Source organism: Homo sapiens, chromosome 19, assembly GCF_000001405.40.
Source record: "Homo sapiens chromosome 19, GRCh38.p14 Primary Assembly".
NCBI lineage: Eukaryota > Metazoa > Chordata > Mammalia > Primates > Hominidae > Homo > Homo sapiens.
The window spans coordinates 20,792,812-20,815,753 of record NC_000019.10 but is presented as its reverse complement, the minus strand read 5'-3'; the positions used below and the strand labels follow the sequence as shown (position 1 = coordinate 20,815,753).

Below are 22,942 nucleotides of genomic sequence, written 5' to 3'. Positions count from 1 at the left end.
TTCCACTATATGCCAAATTGTGTATTGTTACCATCTTGTAGCTTCACCCTTGAGTAAGGTAGGATCGTTTAAAGTTAGTGGCATAATAATGCTTCATTAAATGCACAGTAGTCTTAACATGGTTAAAAAATAATAAAATTAAGTTCACACATAATCTAACTTTTTTGGGGGGGGTGGAGGCAGTTTTTTTCTTTTTGTCCAGGGTGGAGTGCAATGGCAAGATCTTGGCTCACCACAACCTCTGCCTCCCTTATTCAAGCAATTCTCCTGCCTCAGCCTCCTAAGTATTTTTTGTATTTTTTGTATTTTTAGTAGAGATGGGGTTTCTCCATGTTGGTCAGGCTGGTCTCGAACTCCTGACCTCAGGTGTTCCACCCACCTCGACCTCCCCAAGTGCTGGGATTACAGGCATGCGCCATTGAGCCCAGCCCTAGCAATTTTTAAATGTACTGTATTTCATTACATAAAAGTACAATTAGTAAAATAATATACTATTTTATTTTAATATACTTTTAACTATAATTATTTCCTTGTGACACTATAATGTAGAAAAGTATTGCTCTGAACATTTACCTTATACTTAATAGAGGTTTACTACAAAGAACCTCTCCACTTATATTTTCATTATGCATCTTACATTTTAATGTCCTTATTCTTTTATAGAAAAGGTCATAATATCCAAATAATTTTTAAAAATATCTAATATCTCTAATGCAGCAGCAATTGATCACATGCTTTCACATGTGAATAAAACAGGAATAAATTAACAGCATGAAGTAATTTGAAAGCTGTATTATATCATTATTCAGTTTTCAAAAAATTTTATTCAAGGAAACAAGTGTACTTTCAATGTAATTACAATGCTTCCAAAAATCTTTTTAAAGTTACATACAAATCATTTATCTAAAAACTGTAGTTGTGGATTAGTTTTTATACTCAACACTCTGATTTAGTGTAATGTCTTAAGTGTCAGTGCCTTAGTTATTCTACTGTAAATTCTGACATTTATATACATTCTATTTTGAATTGTTTTTATATTTACTGCATCTGCAAAATTATACTTTAGTATAAACTCTCTGGTGTTTTCTAAGCTGTTGTTTCTGAAAAAAAAAAAGTGTTTCTAAACTTATTACATTTGCAGGACTAATCTCCAACATAAATTCCCTGATGTTGAACAAAGCTTGAGCAATTGCTTCACTGTTTTCCTCTGGTACAAATGTGTGCAACAAGTAAATGCGCTATAACCCCCTTTATAGTTGTAATAGTTGTCTTCAAAATAAATACTTTTCTTCATTTTAAAGGCTTATAGATTCTGAAAGATTTTTTTGACAGTAATTGCACTTTTAATGCTTTTATTAAAAGGAACCTTTTTATGTTAAGATGTGAGTAGGAATTAATGGTTTTTCCATATTCCTTATATTTGTACAATTTTTCTCAAGGATAATAGCTTTCCTGTGAAATAAGGGGTAAGAACTGATTAAATGTTTTGCCACATTCTTCAAACTTGTAGGAGTTTTGCCAGTATGACAGTAGGAGTTTTGCAGTCTTACCTACAATCAAGTGTGGCAACCACATAAAGGCTATGTCACATTATATATAATTCTAGGGTTTCACACCACAATAATTATTGTTATACATAGAGAATTTGGAGGTGTTGGTAAAAGCACTGTCACATGTTTTTTAGGTTTGTAGAGTTCTTCTTCGGCAGGAATTATCACCAAATCTCTTAAGAATTAAGAAATGGTGGCCAGGCATCATGGTTCATGCCTGTAATTCCAGCACTTTAGGAGGCCAAAGCAGGTGGATCGCCTGAGGTCAGGAGTTTGAGACCACCCTGAAAAACATGATAAAATTGCATCTCTACTAAAAATATGAAAATTAGCTGGGCATGGTGGTAGGCACTTGTAATCTTTTTTAATTTTTTTATTTTATTATTATTGTACTTTAAGTTTTAGGGTACATGTGCACAATGTGCAGGTTTGTTACATATGTATACATGTGCCATGTTGGTGTACTGCACCCATTAACTCATCATTTAGCATTAGGTATATCTCCTAATGCTATCCCTTCCCCCTCCCCCCAACCCACAACAGTCCCCAGAGTGTGATGTTCCCCTTCCTGTGTCCATGTGTTCTCAATGTGCAATTTCCACCTATGAGTGAGAACATGCAGTGTTTGGTTTTCTGTCCTTGCGATAGTTTGCTGAGAATGATGATATCCAGTTTCATCCATGTCCCTACAAAGGACATGAACTCATCATTTTTATGGCTGCATAGTATTCCATGGTGTATATGTGCCACATTTTCTTAATCCAGTCTATCGTTGTTGGACATTTGGCTTGGTTCCAAGTCTTTGCTATTGTGAATAGTGCTGCAATAAACATACGTGTGCATGTGTCTTTATAGCAGCATGATTTATAGTCCTTTGGGTATATACCCAGTAATGGGATGGCTGGGTCAAATGGTATTTCTAGTTCTAGCTCCCTGAGGAATCGCCACACTGACTTCCACAATGGTTGAACTAGTTTACAGTCCCACCAACAGTGTAAAAGTGTTCCTATTTCTCCACATCCTCTCCAGCACCTGTTGTTTCATGACTTTTTAATGATTGCCATTCTAACTGGTGTGAGATGGTATCTCATTGTGGTTTTGATTTGCATTTCTCTGATGGCCAGTGATGGTGAGAATTTTTTCATGTGTTTTTTGGCTGCATAAATGTCTTCTTTTGAGAAGTGTCTGTTCATGTCCTTTGCCGACTTTTTGATGGGGTTGTTTGTTCCTGTAAATTTGTTTGAGTTCATTGTAGATTCTGGATATTAGCCCTTTGTCAGATGAGTAGGTTGCGAAAATTTTCTCCCATTTTGTAGGTTGCCTGTTGACTCTGATGGTAGTTTCTTTTGCTGTGCAGAAGGTCTTTAGTTTAATTAGATCCCATTTGTCAATTTTGGCTTTTGTTGCCATTGCTTTTGGTGTTTTAGACATGAAGTCCTTGCCCATGCCTATGTCCTGAATGGTATTGCCTAGGTTTTCTTCTAGGGTTTTTATGGTTTTAGGTCTAACATGTAAGTCTTTAATCCATCTTGAATTAATTTTTGTATAAGGTGTAAGGAAGGGATCCAGTTTCAGCTTTCTACTTATGGCTAGACAGTTTTCCCAGCACCATTTATTAAATAGGGAATCCTTTCCCCATTGCTTGTTTTTGTCAGGTTTGTCAAAGGTCAGATAGTTGTAGATATGTGGCATTATTTCTGAGGGCTCTGTTCTGTTCTATTGATCTATATCTCTGTTTTGGTACCAGTACCATGCTATTTTGGTTATGTAGCCTTGTAGCATAGTTTGAAGTCAGGTAGCGTGATGCCTCCGGCTTTATTCATTTGGCTTAGGATTGACTTGGCAATGTGGGCTCTTTTTTGGTTCCATATGAACTTTAAAGTAGTGTTTTTCAATTCTGTGAAGAAAGTCATTGGTAGCTTGATGGGGATGGCATTGAATCTATAAATTACCTTGGGCAGTATGGGCCATTTTCATGATATTGATTCTTCCTACCCATGAGCATGGAATGCTCTTCCATTTCTTTGCATCCTCTTTTATTTCGTTAAGCAGTGGTTTGTAGTTCTCCTTGAAGAGGTCCTTCATGTCCCTTGTAAGTTGGATTCCTAGGTATTTTATTCTCTTTGAAGCAATTGTGAATGGGAGTTCACTCATGACTTGGCTCTCTGTTTGTCTGTTGTTGGTGTATAAGAATGTTTGTGATTTTTGTACATTGATTTTGTATCCTGAGACTTTGCTGAAGTTGCCTATCAGCTTAAGGAGATTTTGGGCTGAGACAATGGGGTTTTCTAGATATACAATCATGTCATCTGCAAACAGGGACAATTTGACTTCCTCTTTTCCTAATTGAATACCCTTTATTTTCTTCTCCTGCCTCATTGCCCTGGCCAGAACTTCCAACAATATGTTGAATAGGAGTGGTGAGAGAGGGCATCCTGTCTTGTGCCAGTTTTCAAAGGGAATGCTTCCAGTTTTTGCCCATTCAGTATGATATTGGCTGTGGGCTTGTCATAGTTCTTATTATTTTGAGATACATTCCATCAATACCTAATTTATTGAGAGTTTTTAGCACGAAGTGTTGTTGAATTTTGTCAAAGGCCTTTTCTGCATCTATTGAGATAATCATGTGGTTTCTGTCTTTGGTTCTGTTTATATGCTGGATTACATTTATTGATTTGCGTATGTTGAACCAGCCTTGCATCCCAGGGATGAAGCCCACTTGATCATGGTGGATAAGCTTTTTGATGTGCTGCTGGATTCGGTTTGCCAGTATTTTATTGAGGATTTTCACATCAATGTTCATCAAGGATATTGGTCTAAAATTCTCTTTTTTGGTTTTGTCTCTGCCCAGCTTTGGTAACAGGAAGATGCTGGCCTCATAAAATGAGTTAGGGAGGATTCCCTCTTTTCCCATTGATTGGAATAGTTTCAGAAGGAATAGTACCAGCTCCTCCTTGTACCTCTGGTAGAATTCGGCTGTGAATCCATCTGGTCCTGGACTCTTTTTGGTTGGTAAGCTATTGATTATCACCTCAACCCCAGAGGCTGTTATTGGTCTATTCAGAGATTCAACTTCTTCCTGGTTTAGTCTTGGGAGGGTGTACGTGTTGAGGAATTTATCCATTTCTTCTAGATTTTCTAGTTTATTTGCATAGAGGTGTTTGTAGTATTCTCTGATGGTAGTTTGTATTTCTGTGGGATCAGTGATGATATTCCCTTTATCATTTTTTATTGCATCTATTTGATTCTTCTCTCTTTTCTTCATTAGTCTTGCTAGCGGTCTATCAATTTTGTTGATCCTTTCAAAAAACCAGCTCCTGGATACATTAATTTTTTGAAGGTTTTTTTGTGTCTCTATTTCCTTGAGTTCTGCTGATTTTAGTTATTTCTTGCCTTCTGCTAGTTTTTGACTGTGTTTGCTCTTGCAATTCTAGTTCTTTTAATTGTGATGTTAGGGTGTTAATTTTGGATCTTTCCTGCTTTCTCTTGTGGGCATTTAGTGCTATAAATTTCCCTCTACACACTGCTTTGAATGTGTCCCAGAGATTCTGGTATGTTGTGTCTTTGTTCTCATGGGTTTCAAAGAACATCTTTATTCCTGCCTTCATTTCGTTATGTACCCAGTAGTCATTCAGGAGCAGGTTGTTCAGTTTCCAAGTAGTTGAGCGGTTTTGAGTGAGTTTCTTAATCCTGAGTTCTAGTTTGATTGCACTGTGGTCTGAGAGACAGTTTGTTATAATTTTTGTTCCTTTACATTTGCTGAGGAGTGCTTTACTTCCAACTATGTGGTCAATTTTGGAATAGGTGTGGTGTGGTGCTGAAAAAAATGTATATTCTGTTAATTTGGGGTGGAGAGTTCTGTAGATGTCTATTAGGTCCGCTTGGTGCAGAGCTGTGTTCAATTCCTGGATATCCTTGTTAACTTTCTGTCTCATTGATCTAATGTTGACAGTGGGGTGTTTAAGTCTCCCATTATTATTGTGTGGGAGTGTAAGTCTCTTTGTAAGTCACTCAGGACTTGCTTTATGAATCTGGGTGCTCCTGTATTGGGTGCATATATATTTAGGATAGTTATCTCTTCTTGTTGAATTGATCCATTTACCATTATATAATGGCCTTGTCTCTTTTGATCTTTGTTGGTTTAAATTCTGTTTTATCAGAGACTAGGATTGCAACCCCTGCCTCTTTTTTTGTTTGTTTTCCATTTGCTTCGTAGATCTTCCTCCATCCTTTTATTTTGAGCCTATGTGTGTCTCTGCACGTGAGATGGGTTTCCTGAATACAGCACCCTGATGGGTCTTGACTATTTATCCAATTTGCCTGTCTGTGTCTTTTAATTGGAGCATTTAGCCCATTTACATTTAAAGCTAATATTGTTATGTGAGAATTTGATGCTGTCATTATGATGTTAGCTGGTTATTTTGCTCGTTAGTTCATGCAGTTTCTTCCTAGTCTCGATGGTCTTTACATTTTGGCATGATTTTGCAGCGGCTGGTATCAGTTGTTCCTTTCCATGTTTAGTGCTTCCTTCAGGAGCTCTTTTAGGGCAGGCCTGGTGGTGACAAAATCTCTCAGCATTTGCTTGTCTGTAAAGTATTTTATTTCTCCTTCACTTATGAAGCTTAGTTTGGCTGGATATGAAATTCTGGGTTGAAAATTCTTTTCTTTAAGAATGTTGAATATTGGCCCCCACTCTCTTCTGGCTTATAGAGTTTCTGCCAAGAGGTCAGCTGTGAGTCTGATGGGCTTCCCTTTGTGGGTAACCCGACCTTTCTCTCTGGCTGCCCTTAACATTTTTTCCTTCATTTCAACTTTGGTGAATCTGACAATTATGTGTCTTGGAGTTGCTCTTCTCAAGGAGTATCTTTGTGGCGTTCTCTGTATTTCCTGAATCTGAATGTTGGCCTGCCTTGCTAGATTGGGGAAGTTCTCCTGGATAATATCCTGCAGAGTGTTTTCCAAGTTGGTTCCATTCTCCCCCTCACTTTCAGGTACACCAATCAGAGGTAGATTTGGTCTTTTCACATAGTCCCATATTTCTTGGAGACTTTGTTTCTTTTTAATTTTTTTTCTCTAAACTTCCCTTCTCACTTCATTTCATTCATTTCATCTTCCATCACTGATACCCTTTCTTCCAGTTGATCGCATTGGCTCCTGAGGCTTCTGCATTCTTCACGTAGTTCTTGATCCTTGGCTTTCAGCTCCATCAGCTCCTTTAAGCATTTCTCTGCATTGGTTATTCTAGTTATACATTCGTCTAATTTTTTAACTTCTTTGCCTTTGGTTTGAATTTCCTCCTGTAGCTCGGAGTAGTTTGATCGTCTGAAGCCTTCTTCTCTCAACTCATCAAAGTCATTCTCCATCCAGCTTTGTTCTGTTGCTGGTGGGGAACTGTGTTCCTTTGGAGGAGGAGAGGTGCTCTGCTTTTTAGACTTTCCAGTTTTTCTGCTCTGTTTTTTCCCCATCTTTGTGGTTTTATCTACTTTTGGTCTTTGATGATGGTGATGTACAGATGGGTTTTTGGTGTGGATGTCCTTTCTGTTTGTTAGTTTTCCTTCTAACAGACAGGACCCTCAGCTGCAGGTCTGTTGGAGTTTGCTAGAGGTCCACTCCAGACGCTGTTTGCCTGGGTATCAGCATCAGTGGCTGTAGAACAGCGGATTTTCATGAACCACAAATGCTGCTGCCTGATCGGTCCTCTGGAAGTTTTATATGAGGAGTACCCAGCCGTGTGAAGTGTCAGTCTGCCCCTACTGGGGTGTGCCTCCCAGTTAGGCTGCTCGGGGGTCAGAGACCCACTTGAGGAGGCAGTCTGCCCGTTCTCAGATCTCCAGCTGCGTGCTGGGAGAACCACTACTCTCTTCAAAGCTGTCAGACAGGGACGTTTAAGTCTGCAGAGGTTACTGCTGTCTTTTTGTCTGTGCCCTGACCCCAGAGGTGGAGCCTACAGAGGCAGGCAGGCCTCCTTGAGCTGTGGTGGGCTCCACCCAGTTCTAGCTTCCCAGCTGCTTTACCTAAGCAAGCCTGGGCAATGGCAGGCGCTCCTCCCCCAGCCTCGCTGCTGCCTTGCAGTTTGATCTCAGACTGCTGTGCTAGCAATCAGTGAGACTCCATGGGCATAGGACCCTCTGAGCCAGCTGCAGGATATAATCTGGTGTGCCATTTTTTAAGCCCATTGGAATTGCGCAGTATTAGGGTGGGAGTAACCCAATTTTCCAGGTGCCATCTGTCACCCCTTTCTTTGACTAGGAAAGGGAACTCCCTGACTCCTTGCGCTTCGTGAGTGAGGCAATGCCTCGCCCTGCTTCAGCTCATGCACAGTGCACTGCACCCACTGTCCTGCAGCCACTGTCTGGCACTCCCTAGTGAGATGAACCTGGTACATCAGACGGAAATGCAGAAATCACCCATCTTCTGCGTCGCTCAGGCTGGGAGCTGTAGACAGGAGCTGTACCTATTCAGCCATCTTGGCTCCACCCCCCATAATCTCATCTACTAGACAAGCTGAGGCAGGAAAATGGCTTGAACCCGGGAGGCAGAGGTTTCAGTGATCCGAGATCATCACATTGTATTCCAGCTTGGGTGACAAGCATGAAACTTCATCTCAAAAAAAAAAAAAAAGAATTGATTGAAAATTGTTATAGGCTATGCCACATTCTTCACAGGTGTAGGGTTTCTATCCAGTATGAATTATGTGTAATAAGGGTTGAGAACTTCCTAAAAGCTTTGTCACATTCTTTATATTTGTAGTGTTTGTGTTCCATAAATTCTCATATTTAGTAAAAGTTGATAGCTGGTTAAAGTCTTTCCCACATTCATCAAACTCATAGGGTTTCTCTCCAGTATGAATTATCTTATGTCTAGTAAGGGTAGAGGAGTGTCTAAGGCTTTGCCACATTTTCACATTTGTAGGGATTCCCTCCCATATGAATTATCTCATGTCTACTAAGGTTTGAGGATGAAATAAAGGCTTTGCCACATTTATTGCACTTGTGTGGTTTCCCTCCAGTATGAATTTTCTTATGTCTAGTAAGGGTAGAGGAGTACTTAAAGTCTTTGCCACATTCTTCACATTTGTAGGGTTTATCTGCAGTATGAATTCTCTTATGTGTAGTAAGAATAGAGGAGCACTTAAAGGCCTTGCCACATTCTTCACATTTGTAAGGCTTCTCTCCAGTATGAATTTTCTTGTGTTTAGTAAGGTTAGAGGAGCGGTTAAAGGCTTTGCCACAGTCTTCACATTCGTAGGGTTTCTCTCCAGTGTGAATTATCTTATGTGTAGTAAGAATAGAGGACCGACTGAAGGCTTTGCCACATTCTTCACATTTGTAGGGTTTCTCTCCAGTATGAATTCTCTTATGTTTAGAAAGGGGAGAGGAGTGCTTAAACACTTTGCCACATTCTTCACATTTGTAAGGTTTCTTTCCAGTATGAATTATCTTATGTGCAGTAAGGGAACAGGAGTACTTAAAGGCTTCACCACATTCTTCACATTTGTAGGGTTTCTCTCCAGTATGGATTATTTTATGTTTAGTAAGGGTAGAGGAGTACTTAAAGCCTTTGCCACATTCTTCACATTTGTAGGGTTTCTCTCCAGTATGAATTCTCTTATGTGTAGTAAGGTGTGAGGACCAGTTGAAGGCTTTACCACATTCTTCACATTTGTAGGGTTTCTCTCCAGTATGAATTATCTTATGTGTAGAAAGGGAAGAAAGGTACTTAAAAACTTTGCCACATTCTTCACATTTGTAGGGTTTCTCTCCAGTATGAATTCTCTTATGTGTAGTAAGGATAGAGGAGCGCTTAAAGGCCTTGCCACATTCTTCACATTTGTAGGGTTTCTCTCCAGTATGAATTTTCTTATGTGTAGTAAGGTTAGAGGAGCGGTTAAAGGCTTTGCCACAGTCTTCACATTTGTACCGTTTCTCTCCAGTATGAATTATCTTATGTGTAGTAAGGTGTGAGGACCGGTTGAAGGCTTTGCCACATTCTATACATTTATAGGGTTTCTCTCCAGTATGAATTTTCTTATGTGTAGTAAAGGTTGAGGACCGGTTAAAAGCTTTGCCACATTCTGTAAATTTGCAAGGGTTTTTTCCAGTATGTCTTATCTTATGTCTGTTTGTATTTGAAAATTGATGAAAGACTTTCCCATGTTTATCACATTGAAACATTTTGCTTTGGGTAGTTGTCAAACATTGGTTAAGTCCATTATAACCTCTTTTGTGCACTTTACACTTATCCACACTTTCACAGCCTTTTTTTAACTGCAAATTATCATGTCCACATTTTTTATGCCTTCTCAGTATCAGTTTTTGGAAAGAATCTTTTATGCTCTGCTCTGGCCAAAGGTCTTGGTTAAAATGAGAACACAAAACTGAAAGAAACCATAAAAACACACTACTTCACTTGCTAGACTCAGATAAATATACTTTACAAATCTAACCTATAAAATTATACAAACTACATAAACAAGATGATGTAGCAAAATATCACAAGCTGTAATTTCTTCCTGGACATATAAATGTAAAAAAAACATACTGCCCAAAATACATTTGTAAAAAATTTATAAATGAGTTAAGTGTATGAAGGGCCCAAGGTGAGTACAATGCAAAGAGCCACATAGAAGAAAAAAAAAAAGTCTGTTACTTATACCCAACAGAGCTCTTCCTGCTCTCCAGTATAACATTGTGCCTTTAAAAGTAAATTGCTGGTCAGGTGTGATGGCTCACACCAGTAATCTCAGCACTTTGGGAGGCTGACATGGGTTGATCATGAGGTCAGGAGTTCAAAGGCAGCCTGGCCAAGATGGTGAGAACCCATCTCTACTAAAAACACAAAAAACTAGACAGGCATGGTGCAGGAACTTGTAATCTCAGCTACTCAGGAGGCTGAGGCAGAGAATTGCTTGAACCCAGGAGGCAGAGGTTGCAGTAAGCTGACATCATACCACTGCACTCCAGCCTGGGTGACAGAGTGAGACTCTGTAATGGCAGATATTGTAGTGACCAAGATCATGCCTCTGAACTACAGCATAGGTAACAGGGCGAGACTCTCTCTCTCTCTCTCTCTCTCTCACACACACACACACACACAAATGTAAATTGCCAAATCCTGGTTTCTTTTAAAAAGCAGGAAAAATATTGGCACATACATCTTAATTTTTGGCTTTTAGGGGCTTTTCTAGACACTGGTAAATGTCTCCCATGACATAAAATGCTGAAGGAAATGACGATATAAGTTGGATTAACAGTTTGAGTCTGCTGAGTCTAAACATAAATGTCACAGAAGCAGAGATACTGCCCTACCCCAAACAGGGAATAAGTCTAGCAAGTGATTACTGATTATTAAGAAGAAATATGAATAAGCCAATTTAACTAAACAATAAACACAAAATTTTAGACAAGACACATCCTAAAAACATGTTTGAGAAATTCCCAAAATCTCTAGCCATGACAACTGATTTCAGACTATGCCAGAATAAAGTTATATCTTAAAGATTCTAACAGGTAGCTTTTTGTTAATGTCCAAAGCTCAATCAAAGATTACAATGAATACAAAATATTAGAGCAACATGGCCCCATCAGTGAGTGAAGATTGTACCTCTGCACTACAGCCTGGACAACAGAGGAAGCCTGTCTCAAAAATATAATAAAATAGGGTGGGCAGGATGGCTCACACCTGTAATCCCAGCACTTTGAGAGGCCAAGGTGGATGGATCATTTGAGGTCAGAGGTTCAAGATTAGCCTGGCCAACATGGTGAAACCTTATCTCTACTAAAAATATAAAAAAATAGCCAAGTGTGGTTGTGAGCACCTATAATCCCAGTTACTGAGGAGGCTGAGGCAAGAGAATTGCTTGAACCTGGGAGATGGAGGTTGCAGTGAGCCTGCACCACTGCACTCCAGTTGAGGTGACAGAGACAGACTCTGTCTCAGAAAATAATAATAAAATAAATAAATAAAATAAAATAAATTGAATAATATTCAGTAAGTTAAATAGGAACACAGGCAACTACTGAAGATCAGAAAAATGAGAATAACAACCAGAAACATTTAAATAGCAAAAAACAAAAATCGTGGATATAAAAATACAAAACATAATTGGAAAATTTCTTTAAAAATGTACACACCAAGATATTTATAACAAACACACATAATAAGCAAAATTTCAAAAATCACAGATAAGAGAATTTTGGGAGCTGTAAGATAAAAATGATGTGTCATTTATAAGCATAGTCTCATGATATAACAAGTGAATTTATCAAAAAAATTTTTGCAAGTGAGAAGGAAACTGTGATATTGTTAAAGTTAAAATAATAATTTAAAAAAAGCTTTCAAGTGAGAATAATAGCATCACCACAATTTTACTACCAAATAGAAAGAAGCACTTCCAAAATAACCAAATCCTGAGAATGTATATTGCCACTGCATATGCCTGACATATCAAAGATGGTGAGTTTCCTCCACTGAAAATAACATGGTGAAAGAAAACAACCCATAATCATATGAAAATATGTAACTTTCTGGGAAAGATATGCACATACACAAAAATGGAATTTCTTAACATTATCATAATGGTGCAGAAAACATTTTTAATTGTTCTCTAAAATTTAAAAGATAAAAACTATAGAAATTATTATAAACATGTTAATGAATATACAAACATAAAAAATATAATTGGCAAACTCAATAACAAAATAGAAGGCAGATGTAATGATGAAAAATTTTTGTATGAAACTGAAGTTGATTTTTTACCACATTTAAATATATTGTTGGATCTTTTAGAGGTTTTATGTAATCCCAGAAGGTACCACTTAGAAAATGTCTGTACAGATACACAAAAGAAAATAAGAAACTGAAAGCATGTCAATACAAAGATAAAAAAAAAAGACAGAAAGAGAAAATGAGAGACAAAGACACAAGAATAAAATAAAACAATAAAATAAGTTTTTCTTTTGCAGAAAACTATTTAAATATATATAATTATCTCTCCAAATCAAGAGACATACTTTAAATAAAAAGGTTTATTAAAAAATTTTAAAAATCAAGATTCAACTTGCCTTTTTACAAGAGTCAGTTGAGATCTAATGATAAAAAAAGACTGAAAGTGGCAAGATGGAAGTAGAAATTTCATGTAAATATTAACCAAATTAGAGCAAAAGAGCTCAAAATAATATTACACAAGCTGCATCTTAAGTAAGAAAATGTCATATTTTATAAAATGTACTTTAAGTCAAAACTTCAAGAAGGCAAAGAAGGGCTTTAAACAATATATGTATTCTTTCACTGGGAATCTATGACAAATTTGTTTATACATGTATGTATTTGCATGTGTGTGTCTCAGATTAGAGTTTCAAATATATAAAGCAAATACAAAATTGAATACACACAGAGAGCAATATAATTATAGTAGGATATTTCAATACTTCATTTTCTGTAATAATAAAACAAGACAGAATATTAATAAGGGAACAGAGGACTAGAAGGCAGTAAAAAACAATTATTTCTAATGAAGGTATAGAGAACACTCCTCAACAACATCAGGATACACAGCCTTCTCAATAGCTCATACAGCATTCTCCTATATAGACCACAAGTTAGGCCAAAAATGAAGCCTTAACACATTTTTTAAAACTGAAATTTTATAGATTACTTTCTATGACAAAAATGGAATTAGAGTATAAAACAATAATATAAATAATTGATAAATTTACAAATATATGGAAATGAGAAAACACACTCTTGAGCATGCACTTGTTCAGAAAACTGGGCTGTGTGCAGTGACTCACACCTGTAATCCCAGCACTTTGGGAGGTCGAGGTGAGTGATTTTAACTCCACCTCAAAAACAAACTGAAAAAGAAATAATTAATATTGTGAAGATGTCTGTACTGCTCAATTTAATCTACAGATTTAATTCAATGTTTTTCAAATGTCTCATTGCATTTTTGAAGAAATAAAAACAGCAAATCCAAAAGTATATGGAATCTAAAGAGACAATAAAGTACCCAACAATCTACCAAAATGGAACAATGTTGGAGGCATTACCATTTCTGATTTCAAAACACATCAAAAAGCTACAGAATTAAAATAATTTGTTATGAGTATAAAGGTGAAAAAGTAAACCAATAAAACAGAAGGCAGCACATATATTAGCTTTTGCATAATTACTGCATTGTTACTAATTTTACTAATAGTAAAAGCAATGCAAATTTCTGTCACCACATCATTCAGTAGATACAAAAATACAGGACTCTCATTAAACTACTTAATGAAATGAAATGTAATCTTTGAAATGTAATCTTAGGACTTTGGATGGCCAAGGTGGGCCGATTACTTGATCCCAAAAGTTCAAGATCAGCCTGGGCAACATGGCAAAACTCTGTCTCTATGAAAAATACAAAAAAAGCTAGCTGGGTGTGAGGGCACATTCATGTAACCCAGCTACTTGAGAGGCTGAAATGAGAGGATCATCTGAGTTTGGGAGGTTCAAGCAGCCGTGAGCCATGCAAATCAGCCTGGTTGACAGAGTGAGACCCTATCTCAAAAATACATGAGGCCGGATGCAGTGGCTCACACCTGTAATCCCAATAGTTTGGGAGGCCAAGGTGGGCAGGTTACCTGAGGTCAGGAGTTCAAGATGAGCCTGGCCATCATGGGAAAACCCCATCTCTACTAAAAATGCAAAAAATTAGCCAGGTGTGGTGGCATGTGCCTGTAATCCCAGCTACTTGGAAGGCTGAGGCAGGAGAATCACTTGAACCCAGGAGGTGAAGATTGCAGTGAGCTGAGATTGCACCATTGCACTCCAGCCTGGGTAACAACAGTGAAACTCCATCTCAAAAAATAAAATAAAATAAAATGAATAATAAATGAATATATGCATAATGAAAATATTAAAAAAAGATATAGAATGCCTGAGTGGTTTTTTAAAAAGCATACACTATGCTCCCTACAAGAGACTCATTTTAGCATTGAGTCAAATAGGGTGAAAGTAACAGAATGAAAAAAAGTTATGTACCATGAAAATAGTAACCACAATTGAGTAAGGTGGTCATAATTATATTAGACAGAATATGCTTTAAGTCAAGTACGACCATGGGACAATGACTGATATTATATTATGGTAAAGTGAATTGATTTAGCAGGAATCTATAACTATAATATTTATCTATCTATATGTATATGTGTATATAACATCAGGGCTCCAAAATATATAAAGCAAATATTGACAAAAGTGAAGCAAGGCATACATAGCAACATAATAATTGTAGACAGCAAGAACCCATTTGCAATTAATAAATAGAAAATTCAGATAAAAACTAAGAAAGAGAAAACTGTGACAATATTATAGACCATATTAATTATTTTGCATATAGAGCAATACTTGAGAGTGCATAATTTATAAAGAAAAAAGGTTTATTTGGCTCACAGCTCAGCAGACTGTACAAGAAGTGTGTGTCAGCATGTGCTTCTAATGAGGATTTCAGGAAGCTTAAAATCATGGTGGAAGGTAAGGAATAACTGGATATATTATATGGTAAGAGACAGAGTAAGTGTGAGGTGAAGAAGCCATGTTCTTTTAATGAACCAGCTCTTATTTGAATTGATAGAGTCTAATCTTTTTGGTTGCCAAGAGTATGTACCAAGCCATTCATGAGAAATTCACCCTCATGACCCAAATATGTCCCACCAGGTCCCACACCCAACATTGAGGATTTATATTGCAGCATGAGGTTTGGACAACAAGGACATCCAAACCATATTATAGACCAAATAGGCTTCATAGATACATAAAATACTCTCCCATCAAAACCAAGATAATACACAATATTCTTATTTGCATCTGGTGTATTCTGTTAGGACACATACCCAAGCTTTATTAAATTTAAAAATACCTACTGGGTGCCATGGCTCCTGCCTATAATTCTAACACTTTGGGAGATCCACTGGGGCCAAAAGTTTGAGACCAGCCTGGGCAAAATAGTGAGATCCTAACACTATAAACTAGCAAACAATTAGCCAGACATGGTAGTGCATGTCTGTAGTCCTAGCTACTCAAAAAACTGAGGTGAAAGGATCACTTGAGCCCAGGAGGCTGAGGCTACAGTGAGCCACAATTATGCCACTGCATTGGAGCCTGGGTGACAGTAAGATCTTGTCTCAAAACAACAACCAATCACTTTAAAAACACTAAAATTATACACTGTGTGTTTTCTAACAAAAACTTTATGAAACTAGGAATTAAAAGCAAAAGTCAAACTGGCAGATTCACAAATATGTGAATATGAAACACACTCTTCAACATATTCTTGCTCAGGGGGCAACAAATTTTATTTTTCAAAGATGTCAATACAACCTACAGTTAAAAGCTATGGAATTTAAACAATGTGATACACAAAGACAAACAGATAAAAGAACAGAATAGAGAGCTCAGAAATAAACCGTTCTGTATATGATCAAATGATCTTCCACAGAGTTGCCATGCATACAAAATAGAGAGAAATAATCTCTTCAAAAAATGATGTTGAAAACTGAATGTCAACACTGATAAAATGAAGTTGGATTATTTCCTTGAATGATACAATAATATATTTTAAATAAAATACTTAGACATAAAAATAAACAAATGGGAAAAAGCATTTGAAAAAACACACAAAATTACTAATTTGTAGAGAAATGAAAACAAAAAACACAATACCAACAAAATCGCCTCACACTCATTAGGTGTAAAAATAAAATCCATGTTGATTGCTGGTGGAAAACAAAGACACAGCCATTATTTTAAAATGTTATAAATATTCCTCATTTATAAATCTATATCTAAAATATGTAACACAGGCCAGGTGCAGTAGCTCAAGCCTGTAATCCTAGCACTTTGGGAGGTTGAGGTGGGCAGATAACCTGAGGTCAGGAGTTTGAGACGAGCCTGGCCAACATGGTGAAATACCATTTCTACTAAAAACACAAAAATTACCTTGGCGATGTGACGTGCACCTGTAATCCCAGCTACTTGGGAGGCTGAGGTAGGGGAATCACTTGAACCCAGAAGGCAGAGCTTGCAGTGAGCTGAGATCGCACCACTGCACTTTAGCCTGGGCAACAGAGCAAGATTCCATCTCAAAAAAAAAAAAAAGAAAGAAAGAAAAAGAAAGAAAGAAAGAAAACAACAACAAAAAAACAAAATATGCAACACAGGACCTGGAAGACATAATTGAAAATACATGTATTTTGTACCAGTATTCACAAAAGCCAAAAGGCTAAACCAGCATATATCTCTTAATTTATAAACACATCAAAAAATATAACATACACATACAATGGAATATTATTCCACTTTAAAAAGAATAATCTTGTCACATTTTAAGATGAACATTGAAAATATTATGCCACCTGAATTAATCCAGTAACAAAATTATGGATACTGTATGATTCCACTTATATGAGATATCTTAAGTAGTCAAAATCATAAAATCAGAAAGTAGAAGGTTTGTCTGTCAAGGGCTGGAAAGAGTGTAAAATGAGCAGTTGTTACTTAATGGGCATTGAGTTTTAGTTTTACAAGATGTAAAGTTTCTAGAAGCCTTTTGCATGACAGTGTGAATATAATTAACATGCCTGAAATGAACAGCTCTTTTTTTGAGACGGGGTCTCACTGTGTCACCTAAGCTAAAGTGTAGTGGCACAATTTTGACTCCCCCTCAATCTCCCAAGTAGCTGGGACCACAGCTGCACACCACCATGCCTGGCTATTATTAATTTTTTTTATAGAGGAGAGTCTCCATATGCTGCCCAGGCTGGTCTCAAACTTTTGGGCTCCAGGTATCCTCCTGTCTTGGCCTCCCAAAATCCTGGGATTACAGATCAGAGCCACCACCACGCCTGGCCCTGAAATGTACACTTCAATAGATTTAAGATGGTAAATTTTACATTATGTGTTTTTAAAACAATTTTTTTAAAGAAAAACTGAAAAAAAAATTACATATTTTTTTGAAAATTACCTTCAAATCACAAAAATGTTTCTCTCATGAAAGGAAATACATATTAATTACTAAACACATGGTAAAATAAGACTATCCCCATGAGTACTTACTTAGACAAGATAAAACTACCATGGAAAATAAGCTAAGAAAGAGTATAAGATAAGCCATAACTAAAATTGGTGTCATATTTATAAACAGACATACATATGTAACCTGATTGTGACAGACATGCATAATTTATCTCTTAAACCTAAAATTGACTTAAAGTATACAAGCAGAATTGCAAATTGTCTAAAATTATAATACATAAGTAAAACCAAAACACCCAATAAACTAATGGTAAGAAACCTACACTGAGGCCAGGTGCAGTGGATCATAACTGTAATCCCAGTACTTTGGGAGGCTGAGGTGTGCAAATCACGAGGTCACCAGTTCCAGACCAGACTGGCCAATATGGTGAAACCCCATCTCTTCTAAAAATACAAAAATTAGCCAGGCATGGTGGCACACGCCAGTAGTCCCAGCTACTCAGGAGGTCAAGGCAGAAGAATCACTTGAGCCCTCGAGGAAGAGGTTACAGTGAGCCAAGATCACGCCAATGCACTCCAGCCTGGGTGACAGAGCAAGACTCCATCCCAAAAAAAAAAAACCTACACTGAAAAACACACTAATATAAAACTTCAAAACAATAATAAATGTTTACTCATAAAATCGGCCGGGCGCGGTGGCTCACGCCTGTAATCCCAGCACTTTGGGAGGCCGAGGCGGGCGGATCACGAGGTCAGGAGATCGAGACCATCCTGGCTAACACGGTGAAACCCCGTCTCTACTAAAAATACAAAAAATTAGCCGGGCGAGGTGGCGGGCGCCTGTAGTCCCAGCTACTCGGGAGGCTGAGGCAGGAGAATGGCGTGAACCCCAGGGGGCGGAGCCTGCAGTGAGCCGAGATTGCGCCACTGCACTCCAGCCTGGGCGACAGCGAGACTCCGTCTCAAAAAAAAAAAAAAAAAAAAAAAAAAAAAAAAAAAATCTAGCATGCAACATTGATGCATTATTAAAAAATTGTCAGGCCGGGTGTGGTGGCTCACAACTGTTATCTCAACACTTTGGAAGGCCAAGGCAAGCAGCTCACCTGAGGTCATAAGTTCAAGACCAGCCTGGCGAACTTGGTGAAGCCCTGTCTCTACTAAAAATACAAAAATTTGCCAGGGGTGGTGACACATGCCTGTAACCCCAGCTACTTGAGAGACTGAGGCATGAGAATTGCTTGAACCTGGAAGGTGGAAGTTGCAGTGAGCCACGATCACACCACTGCACCGCAGGCTGGGTGACAGAGTGTGACTCCATCTCAAAAAAAATAAAAATGTTTCTAGGTAACTGAAATATTTAACTGTTAGTGTGTACTCACTAAATGCAGGTATTTTGAATCATTGGCATGCCCTGTGTGGCAGTAAAATTTCAGAGAATATGCAGTATAATTATAAATAGAAGATTCTAATGAGAAACTTAAAAATTAGCATTTTAAGGAAACTAGTTACTTTTAATGTTTTAAATATATGGTATTTTTACACAAAATAAAACAGCTATAATCAAACTTTAGAAGCAAAGAGTAGCCTTACATTGTTAAATTTAAAATTATACAATTTGCAGAATAGGGTTAGACCCTCTGATATGTAAAACAAATATTGAGAAATAAACTATGTTATTATTTAGATATAGGCTAAAAAAAAGATGAAAATCCTTTAATTCCTTTTTGCCTGCAGCAAACTTAAATTCATAAGTAACTATTTTAGTAATATGGGTCCCTATGAGTTATCTAATTTACTTCAGGCATACCATGCAAATTCTAGCACATTGTCCTAAATATCTGAATCTAAATTTACAGACAAATCTGAAAGAGAAAATAGAAAGTAAAAATGTATAGGGAGAGTGACATCAGTAAGATGAAAAGATTAAAAGTCCCTATTTTCATACTCCCTTACAGCAAAAAAAAAAGTCAGCCATCTCTGACAAAAATGCCTTTATGAGAGAAATAGGCATTATGGCTCACACCTGTAATGACAGATACATGGTACATTAACGTTGGAGAACTGCTTCAGGCCAGGATTTTGAGACCAGCCTGGGTTATGTAGCAAGACCCCATCTCCAAAATACACGCCACTAAGAGAGATTTGAGATCCAGGGAGGGAGTTGTGAAATGCTGCTAAAGCTTAAGATTGAGAAGTGTTCTATTCAGAAGAGAACCTGCCCTTAGTCAGGTGGGAAACTGCAGGACCCCTACTCATGGCTACAGACCAGATAGGGTTCACCCAACTTGGTCCCACTGAGAATTCTGAACTTACTCTGTAACCAATCCAAACTCCTCCCAGTCAGAGTCTGGCAGAGGTCCTGACATTCAAGAGACCTGGAGGAAGGCACCCATTTACAACAATGTAGGCAGGCCTGCAGACTTTGGACTTTACTGGGATCCCTGAAGCGGTTCTATGACTCAGTTTCAGTTACCTGAGCCAAGTTTATGGTCAGTTCTGCCTACATAGAAACCCACACAATTGGGCAGGGTACAGTGCCTCACACCTGTAATTCCAGCAATTTGGGAGGCTGAGGCGGGCGGATCGCCTGAGGTCAGGAGTTCAAGACCAGCCTGACCAACATGGAGAAACACCTTCTCTACTAAAAATACAAAATTACCCAGGCATGGTGGCGCATGCCTGTATTTGCAGCTACTTGGGAGGCTGAGGCAGGAGAATCACTGGAACCCAAGAGGCGGAGGTTGTGGTGAGATGAGATCGCACCATTGCACTCCATCTTGGGCAACAGGAGCAAAACTCCATCTCAAAAAAAAAAAAGAAAAAGAAAAAAAGAAACCCACACAGTTCCCTAAGGAAATGCTTCTAAAATCAGTTTATGAAAACTTGAAGAGGTGTTTACTCCATCAAATTCAGACACCAATACAAAACTATATTGTGTCCATTGTCAATGCTTCTATTTGAATGTAGTGATGGAAGTATGTGGCAGAAGAATTATTCACAGAAATAAAAAAATCCAGCCAGGCATGGTGGCTCATGGCTGTAATCCCAACATTTTGGGAGGCAGAGGCGGGCAGATCATCTGAGGTCAGGAGTTTGAGACCAGCCTTGCCAACATGGTGAAACACCGTCTCTACCAAAAAAATACAAAAAAGTAGCTGGGTGTTGTGGTGAACACCTGTAATCCCAGCTACTCAGGAGGCTGAGGCAGGAGAGCCACTTGAGCCCAGGAGGCAAAGGTTGCAGTGAGTCAAAATCACACCATTGCACTTTAGCCTGGGCAAAAAGAGTGAAAGCCCCTCTCAAAAAAAAAAAAAAAAAAGTTGCTGGTTGTAAATCACACAATTTTATATTTAAAAAACCATAAACAGTACATTAAAACCTGTCTAAACTAATAAATACACTCAGTAAATTAGCAAAATATAAAATTAAACACACAAGTATATGTATGGTTTCTTACACTTAAAACAAACTATCTGATGAGGAAGAAAAAATCTTATTTAATATAGCATTAAATAAATTCCTGAGAAAAAAATTAACCAAGGAGGTAAAAAAAAGTTTACAATAACAAAATAAAAAAATTAGAAGATAAAAATTAATTTTAAAATATTTTATGTCAATGAATTAAAAGAATAAATATTATTAAAGAATCATATTATCCAAAGTGATTTACAGACTCAATAATCTTCCTATTAAAATTGCAGTGTTTTTTTTTACAATAATGGAAAATACAATTCTAAAATTTACATGAAACTAAAATAAACTTTGAATAGCCAAAGCAATCTTGAGGAAAAAGAAGAAAACAGAATATCGTACTTACAATTTCAAACTATATTTCAAGACTATATAGTAATAAAAATAGAATGGACTGTGCACAAAAATGAACAAAAAAAAATGCAACAGAAACTACTACTCTCACAAATTTCAGACCGGATACAAAAAGAAAACTAAAAAATAGTTTCAGTTTCTCAAAATTAGGAAGATATTTGTGTGTCCCCAAAACAATGAAAAAGCAGCTGGATTGTGCTGTCTCTTATATGTCATGAAGAGGACTTTGGCTCTCACTGTGAATGTGAAGGAAGCTCACTGAGAGAAAAGTAGAATTTTTAGAGAATTTAGAAGCATAAGACAATATGCCCCTTTGTGACAGCAAAATTTAAAACAACAAAAACAAAAACAAAAAACAAAAAAAACAGCTGCCCAGAAGTTCCTTTGGAACACAGCTTCCAGAATCACACCTTAAGGACTGGCTTTCTTTTTGACCTTGGACTTCTTACTGTGTTGTCTGTTGTATTCATTTTCACTCACACCTACCTGAGGGGTTGGCTACCATCTCATGTCTCTGCATAGTCGAAGGTTTTTTTCCTTGCTCCAGATGGGTGATGAGGTCTGGCTTTGAGACAACAATACCTGTTTTATCAAAAATAAATAACATGAATCTTGCTCACATTCTCCAATTACAAGCTAGTAATGTGCTCAGGAAAGATGATGTGATAAAATATTCTAGTAAATTAATAACAAAATACAAATTTGTAACAGAGATTTCTAAATATTTAGAAAATACTTCCAATTTGCCTGGTGCAGTGGCTCATGCCTGTAATCTCAGCACCTTGGGAGGCCGAGGCAGGCAGATCCTAAGGTCAGGAGTTTGAGACCAGCCTGGCCAGCATGGTGAAACCCCATCTCTACTGAAAATACAAAAATTAGCGGAGCATAGTGATGTGTGCCTGTAGTCCCACATACTCGGGAGGCTGAGGCAGGAGAAACTTGGGAGGTGGATGTTGCAGTAAGCCCAGATTGCACCACTGCACTCCAGCCTGGGGAACAGAGTGAGACTCTGTCTCAAAAAAAAAAAAAAAAGAAAAGAAAAGAAAAGAAAAGAAAAGAAAAGAAAATACTTTCAATTTGTAGGTTTCCTAATTTTACTACCTGGTACTACTGAATCAAAACTTGGTGGTGGCAAGTAGATTTTCAGGTGGAAGCTACAATATTTTAAGTCAGTAAATTTCTGGAATTACCACTAATTTAGAGTGAAGAATATAACTCACCTCAGAAATGTGGAAAGTTTGTATTAAGATGAAATATCTTGAAGAAATTTTTTTCTTTCTTTTTTTTTTTTCTTCCTTGAGACAGAATCTTGCTCTGTTGCCCAGGCTGCAGTGCAATGTCATGATCTCAACTCACTGCAACCTTCACCTCCTGAGTTCAAGTGATTCTCCTGCCTCACCCTCCTGAGTCCTGGGATTATAGGTGCATGCCACAGCCCGCAGCTAATTTTTTGTACTTTTATTAGAGTTGGGGTTTCAGCATTTTGGCCAGCTGGTCTCAAACTCCTGGCCTCAGGTAATCCCCCTGCCTCAGCCTCCCAAAGTGCTGGGATT

At 37.6% G+C, this 22,942-nt stretch overlaps 1 protein-coding gene across 2 annotated transcripts in view; it reads right to left on the bottom strand.

Moving 5' to 3' along the window:
- Positions 1 to 5,758: 5,758 nt before the first annotated feature.
- The window catches only part of ZNF66 (zinc finger protein 66), a 33,692-nt gene continuing 16,508 nt past the window's right edge, over positions 5,759 to 22,942 (bottom strand). For both annotated transcript variants that reach the window (XM_047439350.1, NM_001355197.2), the window contains exons 3-4: positions 21,876 to 21,971; positions 5,759 to 9,927 (exon numbers count right to left, since the gene is read on the bottom strand). In XM_047439350.1, the coding sequence (XP_047295306.1) occupies positions 8,432 to 9,927; positions 21,876 to 21,971 (1,592 nt within the window). In that variant the 3' untranslated portion in view covers positions 5,759 to 8,431. The remainder of the gene's footprint in view (positions 9,928 to 21,875; positions 21,972 to 22,942) is intronic.